At 45.3% G+C, this 27,883-nt stretch overlaps 1 protein-coding gene, 2 long non-coding RNA genes and 2 pseudogenes across 6 annotated transcripts in view, besides 1 other annotated feature; 1 reads left to right on the forward strand and 4 right to left on the reverse strand.

The window, feature by feature from the left end:
• Positions 1-336: 336 nt before the first annotated feature.
• On the reverse strand, positions 337-14,035 carry GOLGA8R (golgin A8 family member R). Its single transcript, NM_001282484.1, has 19 exons — positions 13,890-14,035; positions 12,104-12,223; positions 11,156-11,215; positions 10,894-10,974; positions 10,004-10,042; positions 9,694-9,741; positions 9,521-9,605; positions 9,316-9,425; positions 8,177-8,263; positions 7,963-8,070; positions 7,683-7,767; positions 7,050-7,306; positions 6,726-6,794; positions 5,405-5,480; positions 4,882-4,973; positions 4,207-4,307; positions 4,027-4,124; positions 3,776-3,931; positions 337-3,690 (listed from the first exon to the last, which is right to left on the reverse strand). The coding sequence occupies exons 1-19, from the start codon at positions 13,935-13,937 to the stop codon at positions 3,515-3,517; spliced, it is 1,896 nt and encodes a 631-aa protein (NP_001269413.1). The 5' UTR covers positions 13,938-14,035; the 3' UTR covers positions 337-3,514.
• On the forward strand, positions 3,580-25,812 carry LOC101927788 (uncharacterized). Of its 4 annotated transcripts, XR_243135.5 has the most exons (5): positions 3,580-3,668; positions 4,290-4,386; positions 6,803-6,889; positions 18,786-18,920; positions 21,211-21,364. It is a non-coding gene; the product is annotated as an uncharacterized LOC101927788 (long non-coding RNA). The 4 variants fall into 4 exon arrangements; XR_007064551.1 differs by lacking the exon at positions 6,803-6,889 and having other exon boundaries at positions 21,211-21,362; XR_007064552.1 differs by lacking the exons at positions 6,803-6,889; positions 18,786-18,920; positions 21,211-21,364 and adding an exon at positions 25,730-25,812.
• Positions 5,082-5,372, reverse strand: RN7SL196P (RNA, 7SL, cytoplasmic 196, pseudogene; annotated as a pseudogene).
• Positions 11,733-23,667: a non allelic homologous recombination region, noted in NCBI's record as "15q13.2 beta inversion proximal recombination region, recombines with the 15q13.2 beta inversion distal recombination region". NCBI's record gives the evidence for it as "EXISTENCE:nucleotide sequencing assay evidence [ECO:0000219][PMID:25326701]".
• On the reverse strand, positions 13,315-13,838 carry LOC100288482 (uncharacterized; annotated as a pseudogene).
• LOC105376704 (uncharacterized) overlaps positions 18,920-27,883 on the reverse strand; it is a 51,865-nt gene continuing 42,901 nt past the window's right edge. The window contains exons 3-4 of the long non-coding RNA XR_932048.3: positions 21,353-27,754; positions 18,920-20,246 (exon numbers count right to left, since the gene is read on the reverse strand). This is a non-coding gene — a long non-coding RNA (uncharacterized LOC105376704). The remainder of the gene's footprint in view (positions 20,247-21,352; positions 27,755-27,883) is intronic.

The raw sequence follows: 27,883 nt of genomic DNA on the forward strand, positions 1-27,883 counted from the left end.
ACTTTTTAAAAAAGAATCCCGTAACTTCTTTTTCATAACTTTTTTGGTAACTTTTCATAATACTGTTTTCTACTTTGTTCCCACAAGTTTTTTTGCCACAACGTTTTTACATTTTTTATCCCATAACTTTTTCACCCCATAACTTTTTTAATCCCATAACTTTTAAAATCTTGTGTTCTTTTAAGAAACACTTGCATAGTTATATCACAACTTTGTAAAAATGAAACACATTATCTCATGCCAAGCATGCCCAGCATTTGCACAGTATCAATACCTTTAATACTATAGTTTTCAAGAAACGCAAAATAAAATTTTAAGACAAAAACAACACATTGAAACAACTTAATAATTTATTACATTACAGTGGCATCACACCAGCAGTCAATAAGGCCACTCTAGGGAAAAATCTTTCAGTATTTCCACGACACATTCTCTTTACAATAATTCATAAACTGGTAAAATTCATTCTAAGAAAACTTGGCAAATAAAACTTTGGACTGGAATTGGCATTTCTTTCTCTGCTTTTCGTTCCCACCATTTCTTTCTTTTATACTACAGTATTCATATTTTAAAATGTTTTAAATTATTTCAGAACATTAAGATAGCAGTTACATTTTTTAATAGTTATTTTAAAATGACTCTTTAAAATAAAGTTTTAGAGAAACTATATTATGGATAGGGCTGATTTACATTTTCAAATTTTCTAAAATCAGCTTTGGTTTTAGAGCTGATTTTTTTTTTCATTTCTGGAAAATTATCAGGTTTAATCAAATACTTTTAAAATGATTATTATACATTGCCATCTTTAAATAGGTATTTTGATTCTTCCTACAGAAATCAAAATGTATTCAGTGGAACTCACAGTTTAAAATTCTATGTTTCTGATGAACTCTAACATTCCAATGTTGCCTTCTAAGCAAACTGAAAGCTGCCTTATACTGAATGAGGAAGAGCACAAATACTCGGCTGAATGAGGTATCACAAAAGACTGCATGCACTTTGGAGAAAGACTTGAGTTATTGTCATACAATTTCCATTCTTTTTAGCTTTTTCTTAAATATATGACAAATACCTACACAAAGAGTGGTATTTCAGTCAATATAGTAAATTTATTTTCCAGACTGACCTTCAGCTTAAATATGCCAGTGTGTGATTTAATCCATAGGCACCTCATGAACACATTATTGTCAGATTGGTTACAGATGCTAAACGCTATCCGAAGGTCATTCCTAGTCACTGATATTTATCAGGGTAAAAGTGAAGTGATTTCAACGATAAAAGTACCTTTGCAATAATTTATCAATGTATTAGATAAACCCAGTTTCAGAATGATAAAAGAAAAAACGTTAGACCAAATAATGTGGCTGATTAACAGTGGTCCGATTTCTAGCCCGAGGGTTTAAAATGCTCTTAAAGTAACTGTCTTTAAACTGAACTCAAAGAATGCAAAAGCGGCAAGTTCAGAAAATAAAAGGCGAGAACAGGACTTTAAGTGCATTTTAAACCCACGGGCTACAAATCGTACCACTGTTAATTAGCCGCATTATTTGGTCTAAGATTTTTTCTTTATCATTCTGAAACTGGGTTTATCTAATACATTGATACATTCATAAAATTTGGAAGAGTCAGTGGAAGTCACAAGGACCGAATATTTGCACTCTTTCAGTGAATGCCAGCAAATCTGTTATTCCATCGGTAAAATCGTATTGTTGCTCTCCTGTTAATGTCATATTTATAGAAGTATCATGAGGATGCCAAATGCTAAAAATGGAGATGATCTAGTAACTAGAAATCCCCACCGCAGGGAGCACACACACCTATCTCCCTGCATCCTAACAATGTGATGTGTTTTGGAACACAGACATTAGAACTTCATGAAGTTTTAACTGTTGAGTCTTTCCCAAGCATCATCAAGTTACGATTTAGGCAATACATAACTGAAATGCATTCATTCATCATGCATAGGCACAATCACATAAATATTGCACAAAATATGTCCCGAACAGAAACCCAGAGGTACAAAAACATATTTCACTTTGTAAAGAAGTTTGTGAGAAAATATAACTCTGTGGTTGTATAGACACGTTTCCTGATAATACATTGACATTCACGAACAACAGTAGATTGCACTGCAGTTTGTACACATTTTAAGTTTCATAAACTTCTCCTTGATTTTCAAAGATAGTATAATACCATCTACTAAAACTCCTTTTTGTTTCAACTATCTCACATATATTAGTTTATAAGAATGTTTCTATTTTTTTAAAGTGTTTTCCATTCAAAGAAAAAGAAGTAAATTCCTATGTCAGAGTAACCAAGGTGGTTGAAGAATAGGTATTAGCCAAAGAGGTCTAGATGGTAAAATCAATCTTCAAGCCTCAAAGAATCTCCGTGAACAGAGAGGAATGCCAGGAGTCACACAGCTTTCCTTCACTCTAATTCATTCTTGACTAGAGCCTGTATGCCTGTTCCAGGGACATTTGAACTCGTAAAGGATTTCTTATGATCTTCACTAAATACATTAAGAAGAATGCCAACCAGTGCCCTTTTGTGTACTGGGGCATGTAGTCATGTGATTAAAACAGGTAACATGAACTCTGACTTTAAAATGTATTGTAGATACAAATGCTCTAAGCTAGGAAAGGTTTTCCACATCCACAGTCAACGATGGGAACCTTTCATTCCTCAGAAATAAGCCCTTTTTAGGTCATCGAAAAAGAGTGCAACTGCTGCAGCTCATGATGCAGTATCTTCATGAGCCCAGAGCACATACAAATCCTAAGGGAACCACCATAATACACTGCTAATTCCTGGCACCGGAACAGATGAAACACACTCTATCCTGCACGTACCTGCCAGAGGAGGCCACTTTCCTCTTCTGTGAGATTTAAAAAGCTCCCCCAAAAGGTTATCACTCCCATCACCAATACACAGAAAATGGAGGAAAGGCTGTTTCCAATTCTTGGCCTTTAAACAACTCTAAATGTCAGTACTCATAGTGGCGTATTACAAAGTAATAAACAGTGCACACTTGGGGGCAAACTACATATTGAGCTAAGGAAGAGCTCACTGTGATTAAGATTACATCAAACAACAGCAGAACATAGGCAAATTTTGTCTGAATGCTGTAGTGAATATACATGCTGCAATAACATTAAAAAAGCATGGCAGCCTATTCCAAACCAAAGAGAACAGTTTTGGGCAAAGAGTGGGTCTTTGTGTGTTTGAACTCCCACCACGTAAGGGCAAACTCGATATGCACGCTAATGACCTACAATTATGAAATTAAAAAAGAAAAATGCTAAAGGATGCCAGAGTGAACATCAGTGAGAGCCACAGACACCCACTCTCTTTTAACTTTTTACAAATAAACTTAAACTATAAATTAGAAACACAAATAATCATGAGTGAGTCTAACATTCAAAGGAAGTAAATGAATTGTGTAGGAGATTAACCCCATAACTTGGTTTCTTATTTAAAAATTTCTTGAGCAGCTGTTTGATGATGGTGATGTTTATCTCCTTCTTCTTGGCAGCCAAGCCCAACAAAATAATGGCACACAGCAGTTGCTGCCCAAGCCTGGGTGCTCCTGGTGGTCCTGCACGATCGGCTGTGCAGTAGGCTTGTCAAGGAGAGGATCCTCCCTGGCCTCTCCTTGGGCAGAGGAGGTGAGGGTCACCTCACGAAGATCTTTGGAGAGAGGGAGGCGGGGATCTGAGCACAGTGGGAGCCCCCCTCTTCCTGCCTACCCACCCCACCTGAGGGCTCTACTCACCACCATGCTTGTCTGCAGCCCCAAGCTCCTGGGGGGCTGGGGCTCCTGGACCGGGCTCATCAGCAGAGTTGTGGGCAGCGGCCAGGAATTTTCTGTGCCCATTGTTGTAGTTGCTGTAAGCCGCAATACCATCTGCTGCAGCTCCAGCAGCTTCACCTGGAGGGAGGGGTGCTCAGCTGCCATGCCGCTGCCTGCGCCCACCCTCACACCCACCCCCACCCCCACCCCCACAGAGATGTTGCACACCCTACCTTCATCTCCTCCCTGAGCTCCAGCCTGATGGTGTCCTCCTCCCAGTGCTGCATCTTTGGCACGGCCCCCTGGTTCTGATAAAAGGTGATGGATTTTCCTGCGGGAGGACAGGGCTCAGACGCTGGGGCCCCTCTGATGGCCCTGTAGCTCCCCCTGCCGTGCCCTGGCCTCCCACTCACTGATGGCATCTCTCTTGCCAGTATTGAATGAAGCGAAGTTCTTGTTTTTTCAGCAGCTCACTCAGGTCTGCCTTCTCCTTCAGGTGGTCCATAAAGCTGCTCTGGAGCCAAAATATTGCAGTCACATCTCGGCAGCGACCTGCCCTCAGGTGGCATTTTCAAGTCATGGAGAAGGCGGAGGTGAGTCCTGGCATGGGCCAGCTTCTCCGTGACTTCCTGCAGGGCCCGGTGGGTCTCCCCACTCACAGACTCGCCCCCAGGCCCTGGGGCTCCAGGGCCTCTGGCTGCCTCTGGCTCCTTCTGGGCCGAGGCCACCGGGTGAGCCAGGCGCTGGCAGCACACCCTCTGCTCTTTCACCTGCTCTTGTAACTGTGCCTGCTTCTCCTGGGCACTAGCTCCAGCGGACTTGAAAAATGCCACCTGAGGGCAAGATGTGAGCATTCTTCTAGGGGCATACACAGAAGAAATGGGGCAGAGAGGTGGAGCACAGCCCCTTCCCTTGGGGCCTCAGAGAGTGCACCTGTTGGCCACAGGTGAAATGGTGTCTGACCACTGGCTCTCGGAAGGGGTGAGGGTCCAGAGAAATCAGAAGGCAGGGAAACGAAGAGCATAAAGGGGTCTTGGAGGGACCACAGAGAAAGGTGGCAAAATGGGTGCAGGGGGAGTCAGGCTCACCATGGCCTCCCTGCTCTCCGGGTCCTCTGGGACACTCGGCATGGGCTGAGGTGCCTCCTCCCCCTCACTGTCCAGATGTTCTCCTCCGTGTCCTGTGGGGGGTGGCCAGAGGGGTCTTCAGACAACCCAACAAGGGAGGTACTGTGGGCCCACCTCTACCTCCACCCTCACTGTGTAACCCTGAGCCAGCCCCTCCCCAGAGAGGAATGAGCTGTTGTTCTTTATTTTTACTTTTAAGAATCAAGATCTTGCTATTCCGCCCAGGCACACTCCCACTACTGGTCGATGTGGGAGTTCTGACCTGCTCCCTTTCTGACCTTGGCCAGTTCAGCCACCCTTAGGCAACTTGGTGACCGCCCGCTCACAGGAGGTCACCACACTGATGCCGAACTTAGTGCAGGCACCCGGTCGGCATAATGACCAGCTGCTCTAAAGGTCTCTTCCAACTCCTCAATCCTATGCTGCTAGCAGTCCCCCCTTCCTCCTGGGGCTCTCTCCTCTTCCTCTGAGCGGTCTCCCGTACCTTCCCCAGGGAGAGCCATGAGGCTCAGCTGGGCCGTTAGCTGCTGGTTCTGCTGGCTGGCCACTTCCAGGTGCTCCTAAGGGGCCAGGAAAGAGTGAGAAGGGATGGAGTTTGCCAGGTCGTCCCCCTCACAGCCCCATCCTCGGCAGCTCCCTCCCCTGGGTCTCCTGCAACTTTTGGCAGGCCATCTCGGCCACTGCTTTGCCCCAAGCTTCCTACTGCTGCAGCTGGTTCATTAGCTGGGTCTGTTGCAGTCACTGCCTGTACAGCGCCTCCTTCTCACAGGTCAGCTGCTGATAGGCGGCCACCTGCTGCTGATAGGTGGCCACGTACTGCTGCAGGTGACCCAGGTAATGGTCTGGCTGCTGCTGCAGACTCTGAACCTCTTGGCTCTTCAGCTCCACCTGCAGGAAGACCCTGGGTGTGAGGGCACGTGGTGGCTGGTTTCCAGATTCTGGGCCCATTAATAGGGTAGCGAGGGCACTGTGGGGCTCTGTCAGCTACCCAGGCCCCTGTCCCCTTACTCCAGGCCTAAGTGACTGCCTCCCTTTCCTAGAACCCCATGCCTCCTTCCCCAGCCTCAAATCTCATACCCTCTTCTCATTTAATCCTCAGCACCTCTGTAAGGAAAATGCTAACTTCCCTTTGAAGTTAAAGAAACAGAGACTTAGAGATGCAAAGTACTTGAATGGTGACCAGTGGAACCGAGGCTGGAATCCAGTTTCAATCTAAGGAGTCTTTTTGTTTTGTTTTCAGACAAGAGTGTCACTCTGTGGCCCAGGCTGGAGTGCAGTGGTGCAATCTCAGCTCACTGCAACCTCCACCTCCTGGGTTGAAGCAATTCTCGTGCCTCAGCCTCCCGAGTAGGTGGAATTACAGGCATGCGCCACAATGCCCTGCTAATTTTTTTTTTTTTTAATTTTAGTAGAGATGAGGTTTTACCACATTGGCCAGGTTGATCTCAAACTCCCGACCTCAAGTGATTCTTCTGCCTCAGCCTCCCAAAGTGCTGGGATTATAGGCATGAGCCACTGCACCTGGTATAAGGAGCCTGTTATAGCACTGTCTCTTCCCCTGTGATTGGGGGCTCCATGCCTCTAGCTGGGATGATGATGTCCAGACCTGAGAGGAGCCCAGGGCTACCCACCTTTAAAAGTCAGAGGCAGGAAGTGAGAAACAGTCGCAGGACTGCCCTGCGGGGTGCTGTGGTCACCAGCCCCCAGGCTGGAAGCTGCCTCTGACCTGGCACCTCCCCTCCCAAGAGGCTGCTGCCCGCCTCCCAGCCCTTCTTGGATGGGGTGGAGGTTTCCGTCTCCTTCACCTCGCCAAGCTTCTCCTGTAGCTCCTTTACTTGCTGCTCCAACTGCAGTGTGCTCTTGTTCTCATTGTTCTGGACAGAGAGAAGCAATCAGCAGCCACCCACTGCAGCTGGAGACCCCAGAACTTGGTGTCTGCCTCCCATGGCACTGGGAAGGCTGGAGGCAGGTTAGAAAAATCACCCCCTCTCTCCCACAGCCACCTGGCTCACAGGTGCCTTTAGAAGTAACCTTTCACGCGAGGGCTACACTGCCCCATTTTAGAGGTGGGGAAACAAAGGCCCGGAGGGCTAGGGAGGAGGGCAGGCTCCCCAGTTGGGGCAACGCACCAGCTCCTCGAAGACGCTCTGTGGCTTGGCCAGCTGCCGAAGCTTCTCGTGCTGCTCCTGAAGCCTCTCCTCCTGCTTCCGAAGCCTCTCTTCCTGTTCCCGAATCCTCTCTTCTTGTCGCCGGTTCAGGAGACTTATGTGCTGATTGTTTTTGACCTGGGACTGGAGCTCTCCTGCCACTCTCTCTAGTTCCTTCCTCAGGTGCTGCAGCTCCACCTCAGAGGGCACTGCTGGGGGCTCCGGGGGCAAGGGTTCAGCTGAGAAAGGAAGCAGATAATAAGGGCCTCTGGATTCTCGGAAAAGAAAAACCCTCCTCTTGGCGCACAGCTCCTCTCAGGCTCCTCAAACTTGGCCTCACTGCTAATGATTCCTCGCACCCAGATGGTAGCCAGTCTTCCAAAGCACTTTCAGAGAAAGAGCACTGCGGGTGGCTGACAACGGGCCCTCTTTGCTGATGGGGACACTGAGACACTGAGACTCACTGAGATGACAAGACTTGCGGTCTCCTGGCACAGATCTCTTTCCCTCTGCCTCAAAGCCCTTCCATCCACCCACCTCCCTGGGGCACTCTAAGCCACCCTCACAGCCCTCTGATGCCAGTCCTGCTCCCAGGTCATGCCAGCCCCATCTTACCCGTCTGGTTTTTGAGTTTGGACAAGCTCCACTCCAGCTGCTCTACCCAACGCATATCCTGCTTCTCTTTCTTTAATGTGCAAATCTGCCCAAAGCACAGGGGGAAAGGGCCCTGGAGAGAGGGGCTGGTGGCTGGACAGGCTGCCCTCTCCTTCTCTGCCCCCACCCCCACAAAGCCCAGACCCATGACCACCTCTGGCTCTACTATTCCCATTTTACAGATGCCCAGAAAGATCCAGTGACCTATCTAATGTGGGGGGGCTGAAGGGTCAGATCTCACCTCCTGCGACATTTTACTCATCCTCTGATGCCACCGGGCCCTCTCTCCTTCTATATGTTCAGCACACTCATCTCTTTCTAATTGGAGTTGTTGAAATGACTCCTTCAACTGCAAGAATGGGCACAGAAGTTAGGAAGGGCTGTCACTGGTCCTCACCTGCTCCTGGCCACCTGGGGTCATCGTCCTTCCACATCCCTCCCTCGGAAAACCTCACCTGTGTCAGCTGCGCTTTCAGCAGTGCCTGGTCCTGTAGGGACTGCTCTAACTCCCACTCTGTATGTGCTTTGCTGCAGCTGGACAACTGGATGGTGAAGAGTGAGAAGTTTCAATCTGGAGAGCCTGGGCATTTCCACACAGTGCCCCTTAACAGGGCTAGGGCTAGGCCCAATATACAACTCGGTCAGTAAAGATCAAGGCATTTCCCAGCCCGTGGTCTGGTTTTTAAAAGAACACAGTAAAGTTGGAACGGACAGGGAATGAGACTGAGTTTATAGCTGGCTAACAGAGGCCCAGAGAGATCAGATAATATTGCTATTGTTATTATTGTCATTATTACCACTGTTTGAACCTTTGTGGAATGCTTCACCAGGTACCGTGCTAACAATCCCATTTAATCCTCGCAACCACCATAGGAGACAGTTACTATGATTCCCTCTATTGTGGAGATGAAAAAACATGGAGTATTTGAGGTTAAGTGCTTGCCTAAGTTCACTTAGGCAGAGCTGGGATATAAACACCCAGGTCTATCCAATTCTCTAAGCCCGTTTTTCTTGCTGGGGATGGGGGCACAGATAGGAAGGGGAAAATTAATCTTTTGTTCACTTTTTGACAGGATGATACATTCACATAGTCCAAAACTCAGAAGGTACAGAAGGGAAGTATCTCCCAGCCATCTTGTTCTCTCTCCTGAATTTTTTATGAACCCTTGCAGACATGTTTTATGTATATTATCACAGTATGTACACACACACACACACACACACACACACACATGCACGCGTTTCCTCTTTCTACAGAAATGGTAACATACTAAAGGTACTCTTCTGTACCTTCACAGTACAAGTACCCAATACCCCACCTAGGACTTGCCCAAGACCACAGCCAGGTAAGGGCGGGGCAGGCACTTGGCCTCCAAGCTCTGCCTCCAGTGCTCACTCCCCACAGTACCCCCCAACTCACCCACAGCAGCTGACTCGGCCCCAGGCTGCCACTAAAAACCATACAAAAAAGTAGCAAGAAATGGCCATGCTGCCTTCTGGGCAGGACACGCCATCCTGCAGAAGGGACCTTTAGGCTCACTCTTCCATCTGCAAAACCAGGCTCCCAGGGGATGGGGCAGGTGGCTGGACTCACCTGGTTTGCCTTCTTCTTCTCTGTGGCGATGACAGCAGACAGAGCCCTCTCTAACTCTCCTTTACACTGCAATGAATGTTGCAGGCGGACAGCCAGGTCCTTGGACTCTTCTGTAATGAGAGAGTTGAGATGGGGCCCAAAGGACTCCCCCTGAAGACCTGTCAAAGTGCCAGGTTGAAGGATGACAGGGTGCCCAGATTCCCACCTTCAAAGTATCTGAGAGAACGTTCCATGTGGTACAGGTCCGTATTTAGTTCCTCTTTCTGTATGATCAATGTCTGGATTTGAACCTTTGGGAGAAAAGCCAAGCAAGTGCTGAAAGAGAAGGAAAGAAACATTCTCCGGAGGACAGGAGGAAACTGCACACCCTCCACTCACCTCTAGCACCCTTTCGGCTTTCTGTCTCTCGTTGTTTGCTTTCTTTTCCTGTAGGAAGAGGAAGACAGAGCTCTTACCAGGGGGAGGCAGAGATGGCACAGCAAGAGACATGCCCCCAGAATGCCACCAATGCCCCAGGACAGGCCCACCCATGGGACCAGGTTATCAGGGGCCCTGTGGGGATGGGGTGGAATCTGAGGGGTGAGCCTTCTTCCCCAGGCTGGGAGTGGGTGAGACGAGACTGGGGCCTCTATGTCTGAGTGCCCCCCAAACCCAGCAGTCATGTCGCGAGGAAACGAAATCACGTTACTTCTTCCAGCTGATGTTCCACTTGTTTCTTCTGTTGTTTCTGTGGGGAGAGTCAAATAAGGTGATGGAGGGTGGCCCCCTCAACTCTATTCCCCAGATCAGGAAGCGGTAGGCAGGGGCCAGGAATGGATTTTAAAGGCAAAGTTCTCAGACATAATGGGAACACGAACCGGTAAACTCTCCTCAAGCTCCCAAGGACAGAGGATTTGGGTCTTTGTTGGCTTTTGCCCACAGCCACAGAACTCAGTCTGAATCTGGAATCTCTTGAGAGGACAGCAACATAAACCTCTAGAGATGGAGTTTCAGAAAGGCCCCTCCTTCTGGCAGCTTGTGATTTAGAAAAGTGGGTTCATTCAATAAACACTTACTGAGCACGTATGGGCCAGGTACGGTTCTTCACAGCAGATATAGGATGGAAAAGGACAGACAGGAGCCCTTAGCCCTGAGGTTTCCATTCCCGGGGGCCTTTAAATCTCAGACTCGAGAGCTAACAGAGACCTTTGATACTCACTACCTCCTCTGGAAACACGAGCCCAAAAAGGAGAGGTGGCTTGTCCAGAATCAAAGAGCAAATTAGGGACTGAGTCATGGCAGAAATACGGGGCCCTTGACAACCAGTCAGGCTAGCACTTCCCCAAGAGGCAACAACCCCAGGGCGTGTGTAGCAAGGACTCGAGCAGGGGTGTCTGGAGAGGAGAGAGTCGGCAAAGAGGGCAGCAAAAGAAGAGCCATGCTGCATGCTCTGGGGTCCCTCCAGGTGAGGCCTGGGCACCCAAGCTCCCTATTTGTCCCGGGCACCAGGGACCCCCAGCCCCTTTCTTCAGGGCCCCAAGGGGAAACTGGAGCCCAGGATTGGCAGCGTGGAATCAGGGGACCCCACCGGACTCTTACCAAAGATTTGATGGTGTTCTTCAGTCGACTGATTTTTACGGACGTTGAATCCAGGACTACTGCTCGTTCTTGGCACGGGCTCTGAGGTGCATGCAGAGAGGAGGAGGTGGAGCAGGAGTGGGGAGAGAGGTAGAGAGAACGATCGTTAGGGCTGGGGTGTGTGGGCTGTCTCAGCTGGCAGAGGGGCACCCAGTCCCACCTGGAGGAGGAGGTTGGAGGGTTGACCCGAAGGGTCACTGCACCTCCACCCAGAGCCTCTTACCTCCAGATCTTTCAGGGTAGCAGATGATGTAGGGCCTTCCCTGTGGAAACCTGTTGCTGACTACAAGAGATGAGAGTGCACATGGAGATGTTCTGTCCCCCACAGTGTCTGAGCCCTCTGACTTCCTTTCTTCCCCATCAACTGCAACATTTTCTTTTCTGCCTATCTTGGACCTTTTGTCCCATAACTCCTTTGTGCCAACTTCTCTCATGGTTCTTATCTCCCCACCATCCCATCCTGGGGCCCCTTCAGTGACTCCTGATGGCAAGTGGCTGTTCTCTTTGTCCTGGTTTCCCCTTGAGACTGGGGATGAGGAAAATCAAACCATATCCTGGGTGTCCTGAGTGTTTACAGCAGGCCATGTACTAGGGATTAACATAAAAACAACAATAACAAATCTCATTTAAACTTCACAAATGGAAGTGAAACAATAACACCTCTATTATACAGATGTGAAAAGAGAGGCCCAATGAGGTCTAGCAACTTGCCCTAAATCATATCCCTAGCAGAGCAGATGGAGAGGCAGGATTCAAACCCAGAATTCCTTTTTTTTTTTTTGAGACAGAGTCTTGCTCTGTCACCAGGCTGGAGTGCGGTGGCATAATCTTGGCCACTGCAAGCTCCACCTCCCAGGTTCACACCATTCTCTTGCCTCAGCCTTCTGAGTAGCTGGGACTACAGGCACACGCCACCACGCGTGGCTAATGTTTTTGTATTTTTAGTAGAGACAGGGTTTCACCGTGTTAACCAGGATGGTCTCGATCTCCTGACCTCATGATCCGCCTGTCTTGGCCTCCCAATGTGCTAGGATTACAGGCGTGGGCCACCACACCCGGCTAAAGCCAGAATTCTTAACCAGTACCCAGCAGTCCATCCACAATCTTAAGAATTACCCTCTATTGCCCCTTGGGCCCCCTGTCCCCAGAAGCCTGGTCAGCCAAGACTCACATCCCCAGGTGGCTGGCAACCACCGGAAGTGGCTGTCTCAGGGATACTGCCATTTGTTTTCCTGTTCCTGTTCACTCCTGCTGGAACTCTAGGTCTGTTTTTCTGCCAATATTCTTTTAACTGTTGGAAAGAAGAGCAGTAATATTCATGAGAACCGTCAGCCCCTACAGCCACAACCTCCTTTACAGTTTTTACAAAATACACTTACACACCATCTGATTTAATGACACCAACAACTGTACAAGGTGTTGTCACACTCATTTAGTGACTGAGAAGGATTGATATCATGGCTAGAAAAAAAAAAGAAAAAGGCAATACTGGAACTTTGAGACTCAGTCTTCTGACTCCAAGCTCTGAGGTTTTGCCAAGAATCAGCAGCTGCCAGGGACCAAAACCAGAGGCAGAGGTAGAAAAGTAAACATTAAGTAGGCAGGAAATGTATGCCATGTGGTTTAGTCATACATCCTCACACGTCTGTTAGTGTGAAGAAGTGCACCAGTACCTCTCAAACTTTTATATCAATGTGTCCTCATGGCAGAAGGCAGCCTTTCTCTTAAATCAGAATTTATCAGAAAGAGGACAACCCAAGCCTCATTTCAGAGAGAGGTCTGGTATACTCTTAGAAACCTATGTGACTGTCCTCCCTAAGTACATTCATGTTTTTTCTCTTGATCTCAAGAGAATCAAGGGAAACTGATGCTTCAGAAAGATGTCCCACATTTATCCTGTGGCACTCAAAGTACCCAAGGTTGAGATAATATGAGGAAGATTCAAGGTGTCAAGTTCAGTTTCCCAAGATCTATTCCACAGAAGATGAGCAAATCTCACTTCAGAGACCACTGACTGAAGGAGAGTCTGGTCCCAGAACCATGGAGAATTAGAATATGAGGTGGAGAACTCAGAAAAAATTGTTAAAATCTCTCTGGAAAGTAGAAGCCTGGGAGAAAACCAAATCAAACCCATTCTCTCATTGCCACCCAGAGATACTGTCAATGTTTTGAGTTCATGGGGGAAGTGTAGGCTTTTCCCACCGTCAACATCTGTAAGGGAGTGAGGCAGCCTGGAACCTCTTGCTCCTAGGTCCCATAGTCTCCATTCCCCTTCCAGCTGGAAATTTGTGCTGTGACCAGAGGAACCAGAAACGGGGTGAGAACGCTTAGGGGACTGGGTCGTAAGGTCAAAGGCCAGTCTTGCAGTAACGGCAGTTACTAGGTGGACTGTGACATCACAACATTCCACTCCTCCTGGTCGGGGGGAGGGACCATGTCAGCACCATGTCCAAGTCGCTGCTCCACGATGGGGGAGGGAAGCACAGGGTTGGGACCCAGCTCCTTGGAGACGCCAGCACAAAGAACCCAGGGAGGTCGACCTTGAGGCAGCAGGAGGGGAGGGCACAGTCTGCAGCAGGGAGTCCCAGGAGTCACCAGCCCAAAGTCACCCAAGGATGACTGGCGAGGGTGGGGCCTGGCTCCTTGGAGATGAGAGCCCAAAGAGCCCACGGAGATCAAGCTTGGGGCGGCAGGAGATGAGGGCCCAGTAATGGAGCGGGAAGCCCCAGGAGTCACCCACCCAAAGTCACCCTGGGGTGATTGGCGAGGGCAAGGACTGGGCTGCTTGCTGAAGGGGTGGGGCTGACTGACAAAACTTTGGTGGGGGTAGCCCAAGGCACCGGGGTTGGGGGGACCAGTCCAGTGTGCCTCAGGAGTCATATAGACTCTGGCAGGGGTCTTGTCATCAGAGGGGATCTGTGGCTGGGTTGAGGGGCTATGACCTAGTGCGTTTTTACCTTTTTCTTGGCTGCAGCCAATTTGTTGTGTTGAGTTTCTTCTGCCATTGCAGGGTGGGGAGGGAGGAAGGGTTGGGGCCACAGCAGCAAAATCCCAATAAGAACCGATCAAGGCCTCCAGTCACCTACCAGGCAGCTGTGTGACTGAGCCAGAGGAGGCGTAACCAGGGACCCAGTAGAATGCGGAATAGGGGCGTGGCCTTAATGCTCCAAGCCCATTGGTCAATGAGAAAGATGAAAGGGAAAGGGGGCGTGGCCAGACAGCAGCGTGTCCAGAGGGCCCTGTGGCTCACAAGGAAAGCTGCCCATGGCAACCGCTCTCCCCACCCACTCTAAGAGAGGGGAGAGGCCTCCCACTCTGGAAGAGAAGAGGGGCTGGCTTTTGCTTTAAAAGCTTTAAAACTTTAAAAAATATATGTGTGTATACTTTATATATATGTGTGTCCATGTGTGTGTATCTATGTTTTTCTCCATAGCTGTCTTCATTATCCAGCTTCTATGCAAGGTCTATGATTTTGGCCTATATTTTTCATCTTTGATTACAGTACAAAAATTACCAGTATTACCTTAACTGAGATACAGATCCTATAAAAATGGAAAATGCATAGCATGCTTGATGATTAATGAAGCAGACTATATTATCCAACATTCTAATAAGATAAAATAATCACAATGATTTCTCTTTTTTGGAAAAATGTTTCTCTTATTCTCCTACGTTTTCGTTAAGATTTTTTTTCTTAAACAAGAAACATGTCTAATATCTGTAAAAGCACAAAGCTTTTGGGCTGGGTGCAGTGGCTCATGCCTGTAATTCCAGGACTTTGAGAGCCCAAGGTGGGTGGATCATGAGGTCAGGAGATCGAGACCATCCTGGCTAACACGGTGAAACCCCATCTCTACTAAAAATACAAAAAAGGCCGGATGTGGTGGCAGGCAGCTGTAGTCTCAGCTACTTGGGAGGCTGAGGCAGGAGAATGACATGAACCCCCGAGGTGGAGCTTGCAGTGAGCCAAGATCATGCCACTGCACTCCAGCCTGGGCTACAGAGCAAGACTCCATCTCAATTAATTAATTAATTAATTAATTAATTAAAATAAAAAATTAATAGTAAGAGCAATGTGAACAAAAGATGCAATAAAATAATTTAGAAAATACAAACTATTAAAAAATAGATTTTAAAACTTGTGCAACGAAGTCAAACAGCAGCCAACGAAAATGTATACCCTTACACGTTTGTTTAAAAAGCAATTTAAATTACATTGATCCACTAAACTAGGAAAAGCAAAACAAACAAAAAGGGGGAAATAATTAAGACCTAAGGAAAAAGAAAAACCACTAGATTTAAAAAATAAAACTAAAGGAGGATTCTTTCAAAAGACTGAGATAATAAAACAGTCAAGCCTCTGATAAGTAATCAAGATAAAGAAAACTTTGAAGAGAAAAGGGCATATAGCCACATGTGAATATGATGCAAAAAGTGAAAACTTTACACATCTTTACAACACCTTAGAAGTATGGATGACATGTTCATTTTTTTTTTTTTTTTTTGAGACGGAGTCTCGCTCTGTCACCCACGCTGGAGTGCAGTGGCGTGATCTTGGCTCACTGCAAGCTCCGCCTCCCGGGTTCACAACATTCTCCTGCCTCAACCTCCTGAGTAGCTGGGACTACAAGCGCCCGCCACCACGCCTGGCTAATTTTTTGTATTTTGGCTTAGTAGAGACAGGGTTTCACCATGTTAGCCAGGATGGTCTCTATCTCCTGACCTCGTGATCCACCTGCCTCGGCCTCCCAAAGTGCTGGGATTACAGACATGAGCCATCGCACCCATCCAAAGTGTTCATTTTTTTTTAAGAACCTACAGTTACGAAAAGTAACTGAAGAAGTGGGAAATCTGGAGACCAATATGCAGAAGAAGGAAAAAGACAAAGACTCATCCTCCAAATTGGATATTTAAACCAGAATTTGTCATCCTCAGCAATATTGATATATTGGGCCAGATAATTCTTTGTGGAGGGTTCTCTTGGTGTGTTGTCGGGCATTTAGTAACATTCCCTCTACCCACAGAATGCCAATGAGACCTCCCGACCATGACCAGTTGTGACCACAAAAATGTCTCCAGATATTTCCAAACGTCCCATAGGAGGCAAAATACTCCTGCAGTTGAAAATTACTGTGTAAACCAGATCTACATCCTAGATCTTAGAAAAAAGATGTAAAGCTTCCCAACTCAGCCCTGCATACCCTTGATACTGAAATAACAGCCTTAAAGGAAACAAACAAAACTATAATCTTATTTAATACAGAAGTAAAAATGCAAAAATAAAATATTACCATAGCCATTCTAACAGTGTTTATTATAGGAATGCAAAGATAATTCAAAATTAGGAAAATTTCATCAGGCAATTCACAAATTATATTTCTACATATAATTGAAGGCACAATCATGAAAAACAAAGTAGCTCTATATGCATTAAGTCCATGATCTATTCAGTGAAAAACACAAGTTGCACATGTCTTACAGAAGGAAAACTTAACACTGAACACAGATTCTCACCATCTGCTCTTTGTCCTGAGGCTCCAATAGAAATACAGTGAAGAATAAACATTGTATAAGCACACCATTACAAAAAAGGAATGGGGTTACCAACAGAAGAGAATTCATCTTCATTAGACAATGACAGTACATGGAAAATGGTTAATTCATGGAGCAAAGCAACAAAGGTGGAGGTCAGGGGGATACTGAGAACAAGGAGGCTAATCTGTCCCACAGCAACCTGGAAAGGTTCTAGACTCAGACACGAGGTACCCCCGACAGTGGGACTGATAGGCAAGACTGAAAACAGAGATTAAGCAAAAGCCCGGATAGAGAACACATTTCACAGGCCCTGAAACACACTGCTGGCCCCATCTCCTTAAACAGAACCCAAGCAAACGTATCCACCTCAGGCAAGAGAATGTAGATTTTACATCCAGAGGAATGGAGTAGTCATCCAGCCATCATTTATGATTGCAACAGGAGATAAGATAGAGGGATGGAGGATAACAATTAGGAATCAGCATACATTCCCCTTAAAGCTATCAGTTGACAAGTCTTGGCCACAAAGAACTCCCAATCAATTTTTATTTATTTTTATTTTTATTTATTTATTTATTTATTTTGAGACAGGGTCTTGCTCTTTCGCCCAGGTTGGAATGCAGGAATGCAGTGGCATGATCAGAGCTCACTGCAGCCTCAACCTCCTGGGCTCAAGCAATCCTCCTGCCTCAGCCTCCCAAGTAGCTGGGACTGCAGATGGGTGTCACCACACCTAGCTATTTTTTTTTTTTGTAAAGATGGGGTCTCACTATGTTGCCCAAACTAGTCTTGAGCTCCTGGGCTCAAGTGATCCTCCCACTTCGGTCTCCCAAAGCACTGAGATTATAGGTGTGAGCCACCACACCTCGGCTCCCAGTCTTTTAGTACCTCTCTCAAATATGAATGAACAAATAAAGGAATGGAAAAAAGACTACAGGTCAGGCACGGTGGCTCATGTCTGTAATCCCGCACTTTGGGAGGCCGAGGTGGGTGGATCACCTGAGGTTGGGAGTTCCAGACCAGACTGACCAACATGGAGAAATCCCATCTCTACTAAAAATACACAAATTAGCTGGGCGTGGTAGCACATGCCTGTAATCCCAGCTACTTGGGAGGCTGAGGCAGGAGAACTGCTTGAACCTTGGAGGCAGAGGTTGTGGTGAGCCAAGATCACATCATTGTACTCCAGCCTAGGCAACAAGAGCGAAACTGGGTCTCAAAAAAAAAAAAAAAAAAAAAGACTACAAATGATAAGCAACATAGAATAGATATTTAAGGAAAGGCTTTAAAAAGAAAAATAAGACCAAAATAAACTAAGAAAAAAATTATTAAAGAACAAGGAGATGCCAGGGAGAAGACAAAGAGTATCAAAATCACTTCATAAAGACACTTGTGAATATATTACATGTATAAAACAAAACAATATGAATAAGAAATAATCAGAGAAGAAAAAGTTCTTAGAACTCATGCTCCATCTTGGGAGTTGGTCTCCAATGAGCCATACCTCCTGTCATCATGTCCTCAGACAGGCCCATCCCATAGTCAATCTGGGTTGGCCCCAACACTCACTTTAACCTATAGCATGTGGTAGAAATGACACTGGACCTGTTCCAGGTCTAAGCCTTAAGAACTCCTGGCAGCTCCATTTCTGTGCTTCTGGAAGCCAAAAATAAGAATTGGCTACCTTCTTGGAGAAAGAAAAGCCACATGAAGAGATCCGAGAGGATGAGATGCTATGCAGAGAGAAAGGCCACATCAAGAATCACCAAGGCAGCAGACCTGTGGGTAAAGAAGCCGTCTCAGACATTCCACTGCAGCTGAGCATCCAGATGACCAGTCCCTGACACTGTTTAACCACACAGTGAGAGCTGCCAAATGAGACCAGCAGAAAAACTGTCCAGCTAGCCCCAGGTAATCCATACAGCCGTGACAGATAGACAGATGTGTAGTTTTAGGCCATTAGGTTTTGGGATAATTGGTTAAGCAACAATAAATAACCAAAACAAAACTTAAAGTTATGACAGTCCAAATAAAATTTCCTGAAAGTCGAAAGATAAGAAAATATTCCAGAACTGAAAATTTAAAAAACATTTAGAAATAACGTGAGATATAAGACTCAAGACAAGAGGTCTAAAATCCAATTAACAGACACTTCCAAATGAACAAATAAAATGGAAAAGAGAAAGTTAACAACAAAAATATGACAAGATTCAAGACTCCAACTTTGAAAGAGCCTATCCATAGGCCTGTTCATTTGGTGTACCCAGCATAATGAATGAAAAAAGACCCACACTAAGTACACTGTTGTGCTATTTCAGCTCACCAAGGAAAAGACAAACTCCTAAAAGCTTCCAGGGAGAAAGTCATGCATAAACAAGTGAAACTCAGGATGGCATGAGGCTTCGCCACCACGACTGGTTAGAAGACAACAGCACAGACTTTGAAATTCTAAGGTAAAATTATCCTCAACCTAGAAATACGTAATCAAGCAAACTATCAATCAAGTGTGAGGGTAGAATATGAGAGACGTGAATACTGATGGGGATGTGATATGCAGCAGGCACTGTTCTAAATGGTTTACATGTACCAACCCAATTAAGAAACTTAAAATACACACGCGCACACACACACACACACACACACACACACACAGTTTTTCCTGCTAATCATTTTACGATGAAACAGCCAAGTAGCTAACCCAGAGCCCACAAAGGCAGAGTAAAAATTCTAACACTTGGTAAAATAAAAATGCACATATACCCTGTGATCTAAAAAAAAAAATGCTTAAATATTCAAAGACAGACAGCAATTACAGCTACTGAGAACATCACTGTAAGCAAACTGAGGCAGAGAAAACAAAGGTGCTAATGAGGATTTGAACCACCTAACATGCAGAAACCCACTGGATGCTTTCCTAGGTTCCGAGCTGGCATTGTCTTTCAGAATGATCTAGAAGAGGTCACATGACACTGTTACAAAGGATCTGGAGAAAGGGACCCTTGCTTTATCACTCCGGCTCTCCAGTCATGCTTCACATTTTCACTTCTTACACTCTTTCACATGAAGTCAATTTACAGACCTCCATCATGCCCTTAGAGACCTTTTTGTAATATTCTGACAAGTTCTGGATGTCATCTCTGCACTTTTGACAAATTCTTAGCAGTTAACGTACAAGGCAGTTAACATTTTTGTTCACGGTATAGCTAGAAAAGGGTCATATACTCAATAAAACAAATATTTACCAAGCATTCATTGAGTGGAAGATAAAACGCACAAAGCATAATTATAAAATATTCTCCCCTGCCATGATACAACAAAATTTTTAAAGGCTTACAGAATATAGCATAACATGACCAAAGCAAAAATAGTAAGGACTAAAGAGGGGAGGAAGGGAAAATATCAGCATGAACTGAATATGACCCAGAAGAGTCTTGATGGTCAGACATGTAAAGATGTATTGGGCAGGGTTAAGGGGTGGAAGTCAGGGGCACAGGTCAGGGGCACATTCTACAAGGGAAAAACAGCTGATACAGAAGCCTGAAAGGTAAAGTGGGCAGAGCACCTGTACAGGACTCTTACCTGCCACAGCGAGGGCACAATGCGCCTTTCCAGAACACAGCAGCGCGCAGCCAGGCCTGGGGCAGAGGGATCACTCAAACAGCACCAGAGGCTGCATTCCTACTTTTCTTCCGTCAACAAGTCCATTTTCATTGTTAGTTTCTCCTTCAACACAAACTTAAAAACAAATGGCTGAACACGCAGGAACAAGGAAAACCTGACTGAAGAATGAGAAGTTAAAACTTAAGGGCCTTGGGTCCTGGCACGGTGGCTCACGCCTGGAATCCCAGCACTTTGGGAGGCAGAGGTGGGTCATTTGAGGTCATGAGTTCAAGACCAGCCTGGCCAACACGGTGAAACCCTGTCTCTACTAAAAACACAAAAGCTAGCCAGGCGTGGTGGCCGGCGCCTGTAATTTCAGCTACTCGGGAGGCTGAGGCAGGAGAATCACTTTAACCAGAGGACTGTCAAGAGAGGTAGGCTGCAGTGAACCGAGATCGCGCCACTGCACTCCAGCCTGGGCTACACAGTGAGACTCTGTCTCAAAAAAAAAAAAAAGAAGTCATGGTCATGGTAAAAAACCTATGGCTTTGGAAGGCTTTCTCGGTAACGTCCTAGAATTAAGGTTAAGCCTGCGTTTCCTGTTAACTGAACAGGAAACCAGCCTGACCAACATCCTTCTGCCCAGTGGCTTGCTCTCAGCTCCTCTTCTTTGGGCCTTGGGCAGCCAGACTGTCTAGTTTTAATCCTTGCTCTGCCACCTGTGACCTTGGACAAGTTACCTACCTTCAGTTACCTCATCTACAAAATGCAGATATTAATAATACCCTCTTTTTAATTTATCCAGAGGATTAAAAGAGTTAATAAAAAGTAAAAAATAAAAAGACTTGGTAAGCATAGGCACAGAGGAAAAAAAAGTAAAAATAAATAATTAAATAAAAAGACCAGTGCCTAGCACATAAAATTTCATCAGGAATTAATTCTATAATATGAACTCAATTTTGCAAAACTTCAAAGTACGTACAACTTTTAACTTACTAGGGTATACATACCAGTAATAAATTCACAACGGTAGACATGTTTGCCTACTGTAAATATAACAAAGACTAAACAAGCAGATACTAAATCATTAAGCAATTATCAGTTAGTATCTTTAATTTTCTTATACTTCTATATTTTCTATAGATCATCTTTGTAACAAGAAGAAAACCAACCAAATGAAAATGAAATGAATTCTCTCAAAAAGAATTAAGTCAAGACAGGAAGAAGGCTCGCAAAGTAATATAAAATATATCTTATGGTTTATGTAAAATTCTTAATAAAATACCTTCTTTGCTCCAAGCTGCACTCTGGCTTTGCCTTTGGGTCAGGTGGCATTTCTTTGCACGATGACTGGTTTTATTGAGTAGGCACTGCTTCAGCCCTACAGGAAGAACAAAACCTCTCTGGAACACAGCAGCATTCCTGACTCCCACTTGAGGAGGCCTAACAAAACGGCATATGCCTCAACAGCAGCAGATCAGTGTTAAAAAGTCTGGAGTCAAGGGGAAAAAGTAAAATTGGACCATTTCCAAAATCTCACAAAAAGCAACAAACTGACGTTCTAAGTGCCCAACATGAGCAAATTAGAACCTTAAATAAAGGTCACTCTTAATGCCTATCCCAGCATAGATGCAGCACCAAGTACAGTGTCATTTTACTGGTTTACCTTTTTCATTCTTGAAAGTAGGAGCTATGAAAAAAAAACACTAAAATTTCTCTAAGAGAACCTTCTACTTTCTGTCTAACTTACATAATCAAAACACTCTATTGAGGGTGAAAATTGAATATTATAAGAAAATAATCACGTGTTTTGCGAGAAGTTGCAAATATAATGCTCCTCCACCCAATACCTACCTTAAAAAGAAAAAAGGAAACATACAAAATTATCTCGAGAATTATTCCTGCTTAAACAATGTCTACGTGCCATTACTAAGAAAGTATGCACACAGTAAAGATGAGAAGAGAACATGCAAGCGTGAACATACTTGTTAGGGATATAGGACTATGGGTAATTTAAACATTTTAATGGTATTACTCTCATGTAATTGCTCTGAAATTCTAGTCAGTTGTTTGAAATGGCTCTTAGAACAGAATACTTTGACATTTTTATGATGTCAAAAACTAAGAACTTAGCCCTAAATATTCCAAAGAATAGGTGCAGAAGAACCCATTTCCTTAAACGGCATTTGAGTATTCTTCACAACTCAAACTTTCTCTCCCATCCTGTGATGGCCGAGAGTTTTTCCTCTGACGACGGCACTGACCTTACCCTATCCAAAATATGAACATCTGCATGGTTTCCTGGTTCAAATTGTTTTTATCCATTCTGTCGTGAGAATCAAATGGTTCAGACCATGCAGCACCTCTCTGGGACTTCTCAAGTCCTTTCTAGATCTGAAGACTATTCTCTGAACCAAAGACAACTTCTGGGGGTGTACCAAATCTCCCATTAGAAAATTATTAAGATCAAGATGTTTTAACCTTTTAACTCTTTCTCAAACAAAATAAATTCGTTTCTCCTTTACTGTTATTTTAAATTTCAAAATACACAGATAGTATATCTAAAATAAAATCAAGAGAATGACAGTTTTAGAACACAAACTGTGGTAATTTTGAAAACACAAAAGCTAAGACCACTAATTAGGTCTATGTGGACACCAAGTCCACCACAACCTGTTCTGTCCTCCGGGGCTCTGCCCACGCCTTTCCCTTGCCTGAGATTCCTTCTGCTTCCTACCCTTCCAAATGCTGTATTTCCCCCTGGAAGACTTGCCAAGACCACTCTAACCTGCACATCTCCCATTCCAGCTAACCAAAGGCATCCTTGGGTTGACTAAACCAAATTATTTTGCAGACAAGGCATCTAAACACTTCCACTGTAGACTATTCACCTTAATAATTGTTATTGTGACATTATTCAATAATAAAATGAGGGAAAGAAGTCCTCTTCAATCCCTTATCCTGGAGAACCCAAGCAAGTGTCTTTCCCACTTGCTTTGCCCAAACCCTGGGACCTTTCTAAGTAAAAGTTTAATGGAAGGGAAAGAAAATCTAAAAGAAAAACTCTCCAAGAAATTAAACTCGGGCAAAGATTCATGGGATTAAAAATTTTTATTCTTTGTGTATCTGATTTCCGAAACATAGAAATCTCTCTCCCACTCCTTAAACCTGCCACTGGGCTAAGAGAGTATTGTACAGAATATGCACTCACTGACTTAACAGAATTAGAACATCCAGGCACTCACTGAGATTTTGCTTCCACAACCGCTCAAAGTCTAGTCATTAGTTCATGAGTTAACACCACACTTGACCTTCAAATTTTGGAAATGCTGACGGTAGACAGGGACTTGTTTTGGGAAAGGAAGTACACAGTAGACATTGTTACCCATGACCCAACCACCACCACCTTTCCTTTAAAGAACCCCACTCTTCCTTTAAGGTTGCAGAGTCTCAGAAAGTGGGAAGAAAGGAAGTTTTTGCATTTTCAGGTCAAAACGAAGTACATTTGTGCAACCACATAATGCCCATGCAAAGGTTTCTTGAAATCTAAACACAAGACAGAAGTAGTTCTAGCACCTCCACAAAAAGTAAGGTAAGTAAGCTTTTCCTTAATATACACTTTCAGCAGCATCAACACCTAAAAGTGGTTGACTTTACTACTGTACTAAATTAAATTACATTCATTTTGTCAATAGGTGTTCCAAATTCGTACTGATCTTTGTCTCCAAGGGGTTCCTGCTGAATATTGAGACAGTTGAAGATTACTAGGGGAAAAAATTCTTAATAATCGAAGTAAGGATCATCTAAGGATAATATGCCACATATACAGACACAGTCACATTTTCAGCTTTACAAAAGTTCAGTTATCAAAGTTGTACAGCAAACACTATCCTAAGCTTAGTGTCTTCAGGCATTTGATTTATAATCACTGTAAAGAAAAATCAGTCACAAAATGCCACTGTTGTATGATTCTATTTATATGAAATGCCCAGGATAGGCAAATCTACAGAGATAGAAGTTAGATCAGAGGTTGCCAGGATCAATGGTGGGGGAGAGAGCTACAGGGAGTGACTGCTAGTGGGTACGGGGTTCTTTTTGGGGAGATGAAAATGTTCTGAAATTAGGGAGTGGTAATGGCTGCATAACTCTGAATATACTAAAAACCACTGAACTGTACACTTGAAGGGTGAGGCTTATCATACAAAAACTGTATCACAATAAAGCTCTTAGTTTAAAAAATGTTTGTCTATGTCAAGAAACAAAGAAATAGGGTCATAGCTAGAAGATATGGGATATAAAATACTGGAACAAAACTGCTTAATAATATATCTAGAATCACACAATGCTTAGTCTTTACGCTGACTAAAATCACGAGATTTGTGTTTTATCGGTATTTCACGTTTTTTACTTCTTCTAAGTCAGCCAGTAATTCCTCCTTCTCACTTAATCGTTGACTACAAAGACCAAGCCATTTTGACTCTGCCACCGATGAGCTTTCACATTTCTTTCCTCCTTCCATTCCCATGACTACCAAACCAGTGCAGGTTCTCCTCACTTCACTCTAAGACAACAGCGTGGCCCTCAAATACTGTCACACTCTTCAAGGCTCTGTGAGCACAATCTGTCTCATATTCTCTTCTGCTGTCACCAGATTTATTCTAAGACCGTTTCTTCACTGTTACTCCCCTGTTTCTCAACCAGTTACACAGAAAGACGAATATCCAGGCATGGTGTCATGTGCCTGTAGTCCCAGCTACTCAGGAGGCTGAGGCGGCAGGATCGCTTGAGAATGTGAGATTCAGACTGCAGTGAGCCATGATCATGCCACCGCACTCCAGCCTGGGCAACAGAGTGAGATTGTCTCAATAAATAAATAAGTAAATAAATAAATAAATAAATGAATAAATAAATGTGGTCTATCCATGCAACGGAATACTATAAAATTATCAGCCTTAAAAAAGAAAGAAGCCCTGTCACATGCTGCAATATAGATGAACCTTGAAAACATTACACTAATTGAAATCAGCCCATCACACAAAGACAAATGCTGTACAATTTCTCTTACATTAGGTTCGAAATTAGTCAAACTCATAGAAACAGAAAATAGAGCGGTTGTTTCCATAAGCCAGGGGATAGAGAAATGGGGAGTTGTTGTATAGTGGCTATAGTTTCAGTTCTCCAAGAGAAGCAAGTTCTAGAAACTCGTTACTCAACGTATATTTTTAACACTACTGCACTGTATACTTACAAGTGGCTAATATGGTAAATTTTATGTTGTGCCTTATCACCATAATGTTTTTAAAAGAAGGGGTTTGTGTTTCCCTTCGTTGTGATCACCCATTTTTCACTTCAGCATTTTGAACTTGAGATTTCCTGTAGCGGTTTTACTGAGCCCTGCAGTTACCGGCTCAGAATGTCTCCACCGCCTTGTAACCTTGTAGGCAGACACTTTTCAGCATCTTATTGGGCTCCGTGTGCTTGATGCTTAAAGTGACATGGAGACATGCCACTTGCTGAGAAGCAAAGAAAGGCAAAAGGTGACTGCTTTCCTGGCATCGATGAAGGCAGAGAGAAGGGATCTTGGAGGCACAGATATTAAGCCATAAGCAATAACATGGGTTGCCAAAAAGAGAACTAACCCCTCTCCTGGTAACATTTCCAGGTGTTTTTCACAGGGCCAGTGGATTTCACAATGTGAGTGCTGTCCAGCACCAAAGGGAATGGCCAACAGGCATGGAGCAGCCTACAGCGTCCAGCACCCAGTAGGATGGCCAGGAGGCACGGAGCAGCCTGCCTGTCCCAGGAAAGCAGGAGTCACAGGACACAACTGGACCCAGGTAGGCATGTATGTTACTTTCCTGTGGCTGTTAGAGCAAATTACCAAAAATGTGGTGACTTAAAACAACAGAAATTTATTTTCTCACAGTTTTGGATATCAGAAGTCCAAAATCAGTATCACTGGGCTGAAATCTAGGTCTCAGCAGAGCCAGTGCTCTCAGAGGCTGAGGGGAAAATCCATCCTTTGACTTGCGCAGCTTCTGATGGCTGCTGGCATTCATTGGCTTGCAGCTCCACCACTCCAGGCTCTGCCTTCTTGGTCACAGGGCCTCCTTCTCTTCTGTCTGAAGTTAAATCTCCTTTATCTCCCTCTTATAAGGATATATGTGCCAGGATTTAATGCCCACGGAGACAATCCAGGATAATCTCTCCTCAAGATCCTTAACTTAATCATACCTGAAAATATGCTTTTTCCAAATGAGGTAACATCTACAGGTTCTAGGAGTTCCAGACCAGCCTGGACGACATGGTGAAACACGGTCTTTTTTTTTTTTTTTTTTTTTTTTTTGAGCGGAGTTTCGCTCTTGTTTTCCAGGCTAGAGTGTTTTCCGGTCTCGACTCACCGCGGCCTCCACCTCCCGGTTAGGTGGTTCTCCTGCCTAAGCCTCCTGAGTGGCTGGGATTGCAGGCATGAGCCACCATGCCAGCTAATTTTGGTGGTTTTTTTTTTGTACAGACGGGGTTTCTCCGTGTTGGCCGGGCTGATCTCAAGCTCCTGACCTCGGGTGATCCGCCCGCCTCCGCCTCCCTGGGTGCTGGGATTGCAGGCGTGAGCCACCGCGCCCCCGGTCCAATTTAGTAACCAGAAAGGAATAGATCGGCCTGGCGTGGTAGCTCATGCTTGTGATCCCAGTACTGTGGACGGCCGAGCGCGGCGATCGATTGAGCCTAGGACTTCCAGACCGGCCTGGGCAACGTGGTGAAACACTGTCTTTTTTTTTTTTTTTTTGAGTGGAGTTTCGCTCGTTTTGCAGGCTGGAGTGCAGTGGCGTGGTCTCGACTCACCGCGGCCTCCACCTCCCGGGTTTAGGTGGTTCTCCTGCCTCAGCCTCCTGAGTGTCTGGGATTGCAGGCATGAGCCACCATGCCAGCTAATTTTGGTTTTATTTTTTTGGTACAGACGGGGTTTCTCCGTGTTGGTCGGGCTGATCTCGAGCTCCTGACCTCGAGTGATACGCCCGCCTCCGCCTCCCTGGGTGCTGGGATTGCAGGCGTGAGCCACCGCGCCCCCGGTCCAATTTAGTAACCAGAAAGGAATAGATCGGCCTGGCGTGGTGCCTCCCCCTTGTGATCCCAGGACTTTGGAAGGCCGAGTGTGGCAGATCGCTTGAGCCTAGGAGTTCCAGACCGCCTGGGCAACATGGTGAAACCCGGTCTCTGTTTTGAGATGGAGTTTCACCCTTGTTGTCCAGGCTGGAGTGCAATGGTGTGATCTTTGCCCACCGCAACCTCGGCCTCCCGGATTTAGGTGATTCTCCTGCCTGGGCCTCCCTAGTAGCTGGGATTACAGGCATGAGCCACCATATCCGGCTAATTTTGTAGTTTTTTTCTTTTTTTTAGTAGAGACGGGATTTCTTCATGTTGGTCAGGCTGGTCTCCGACCTCGGGTGATCCGCCCACCTCTGCCTTCCAAAGTGCTGGGATTGCAGGCCTGAGCCACTGCGCCCGACGGAAACCCAGAACGGAAAACAAAACAAAAACCACAAAGATTAGCCGGGTGTGGTGGGCCGCGCAGGTAGTCCCAGCTACTCTGAAGGCTGATGGAGGAGGATTGCTTCACCCCGGCTTCTAGGTGGCAGTGAGCTATGATGGCGCTGCTGCACTCCAGACTGGGCGACAGAGCGGGACTCTGTGGCAGGAAAAGGGAAAGGAAAAAAAAAAGAATGTAAATAAAATTGCTAACTCAAGGAACAGCTTGACAGTATATTATTGCGACAAATAGAGGCAAAGGTTAGCAGACACCAGTGTTCACTTAGTG

This window comes from Homo sapiens, chromosome 15 (genome assembly GCF_000001405.40).
Source record: "Homo sapiens chromosome 15, GRCh38.p14 Primary Assembly".
NCBI classification, from domain to species: domain Eukaryota; kingdom Metazoa; phylum Chordata; class Mammalia; order Primates; family Hominidae; genus Homo; species Homo sapiens.

Coding starts and splice junctions, on each gene's coding strand:
- GOLGA8R (NM_001282484.1), bottom strand. CDS start 13,937: ATGGCAGAAGAAACTCAACACAACAAATTGGCTGCAGCCAAGAAAAAG. Junction 9,606..9,693: donor AAGCCGAAAGGGTGCTAGAG/GTGAGTGGAGGG, acceptor TTTCTCCCAAAG/GTTCAAATCCAGACATTGAT. Junction 9,426..9,520: donor TTCTCTCAGATACTTTGAAG/GTGGGAATCTGG, acceptor CTCTCATTACAG/AAGAGTCCAAGGACCTGGCT.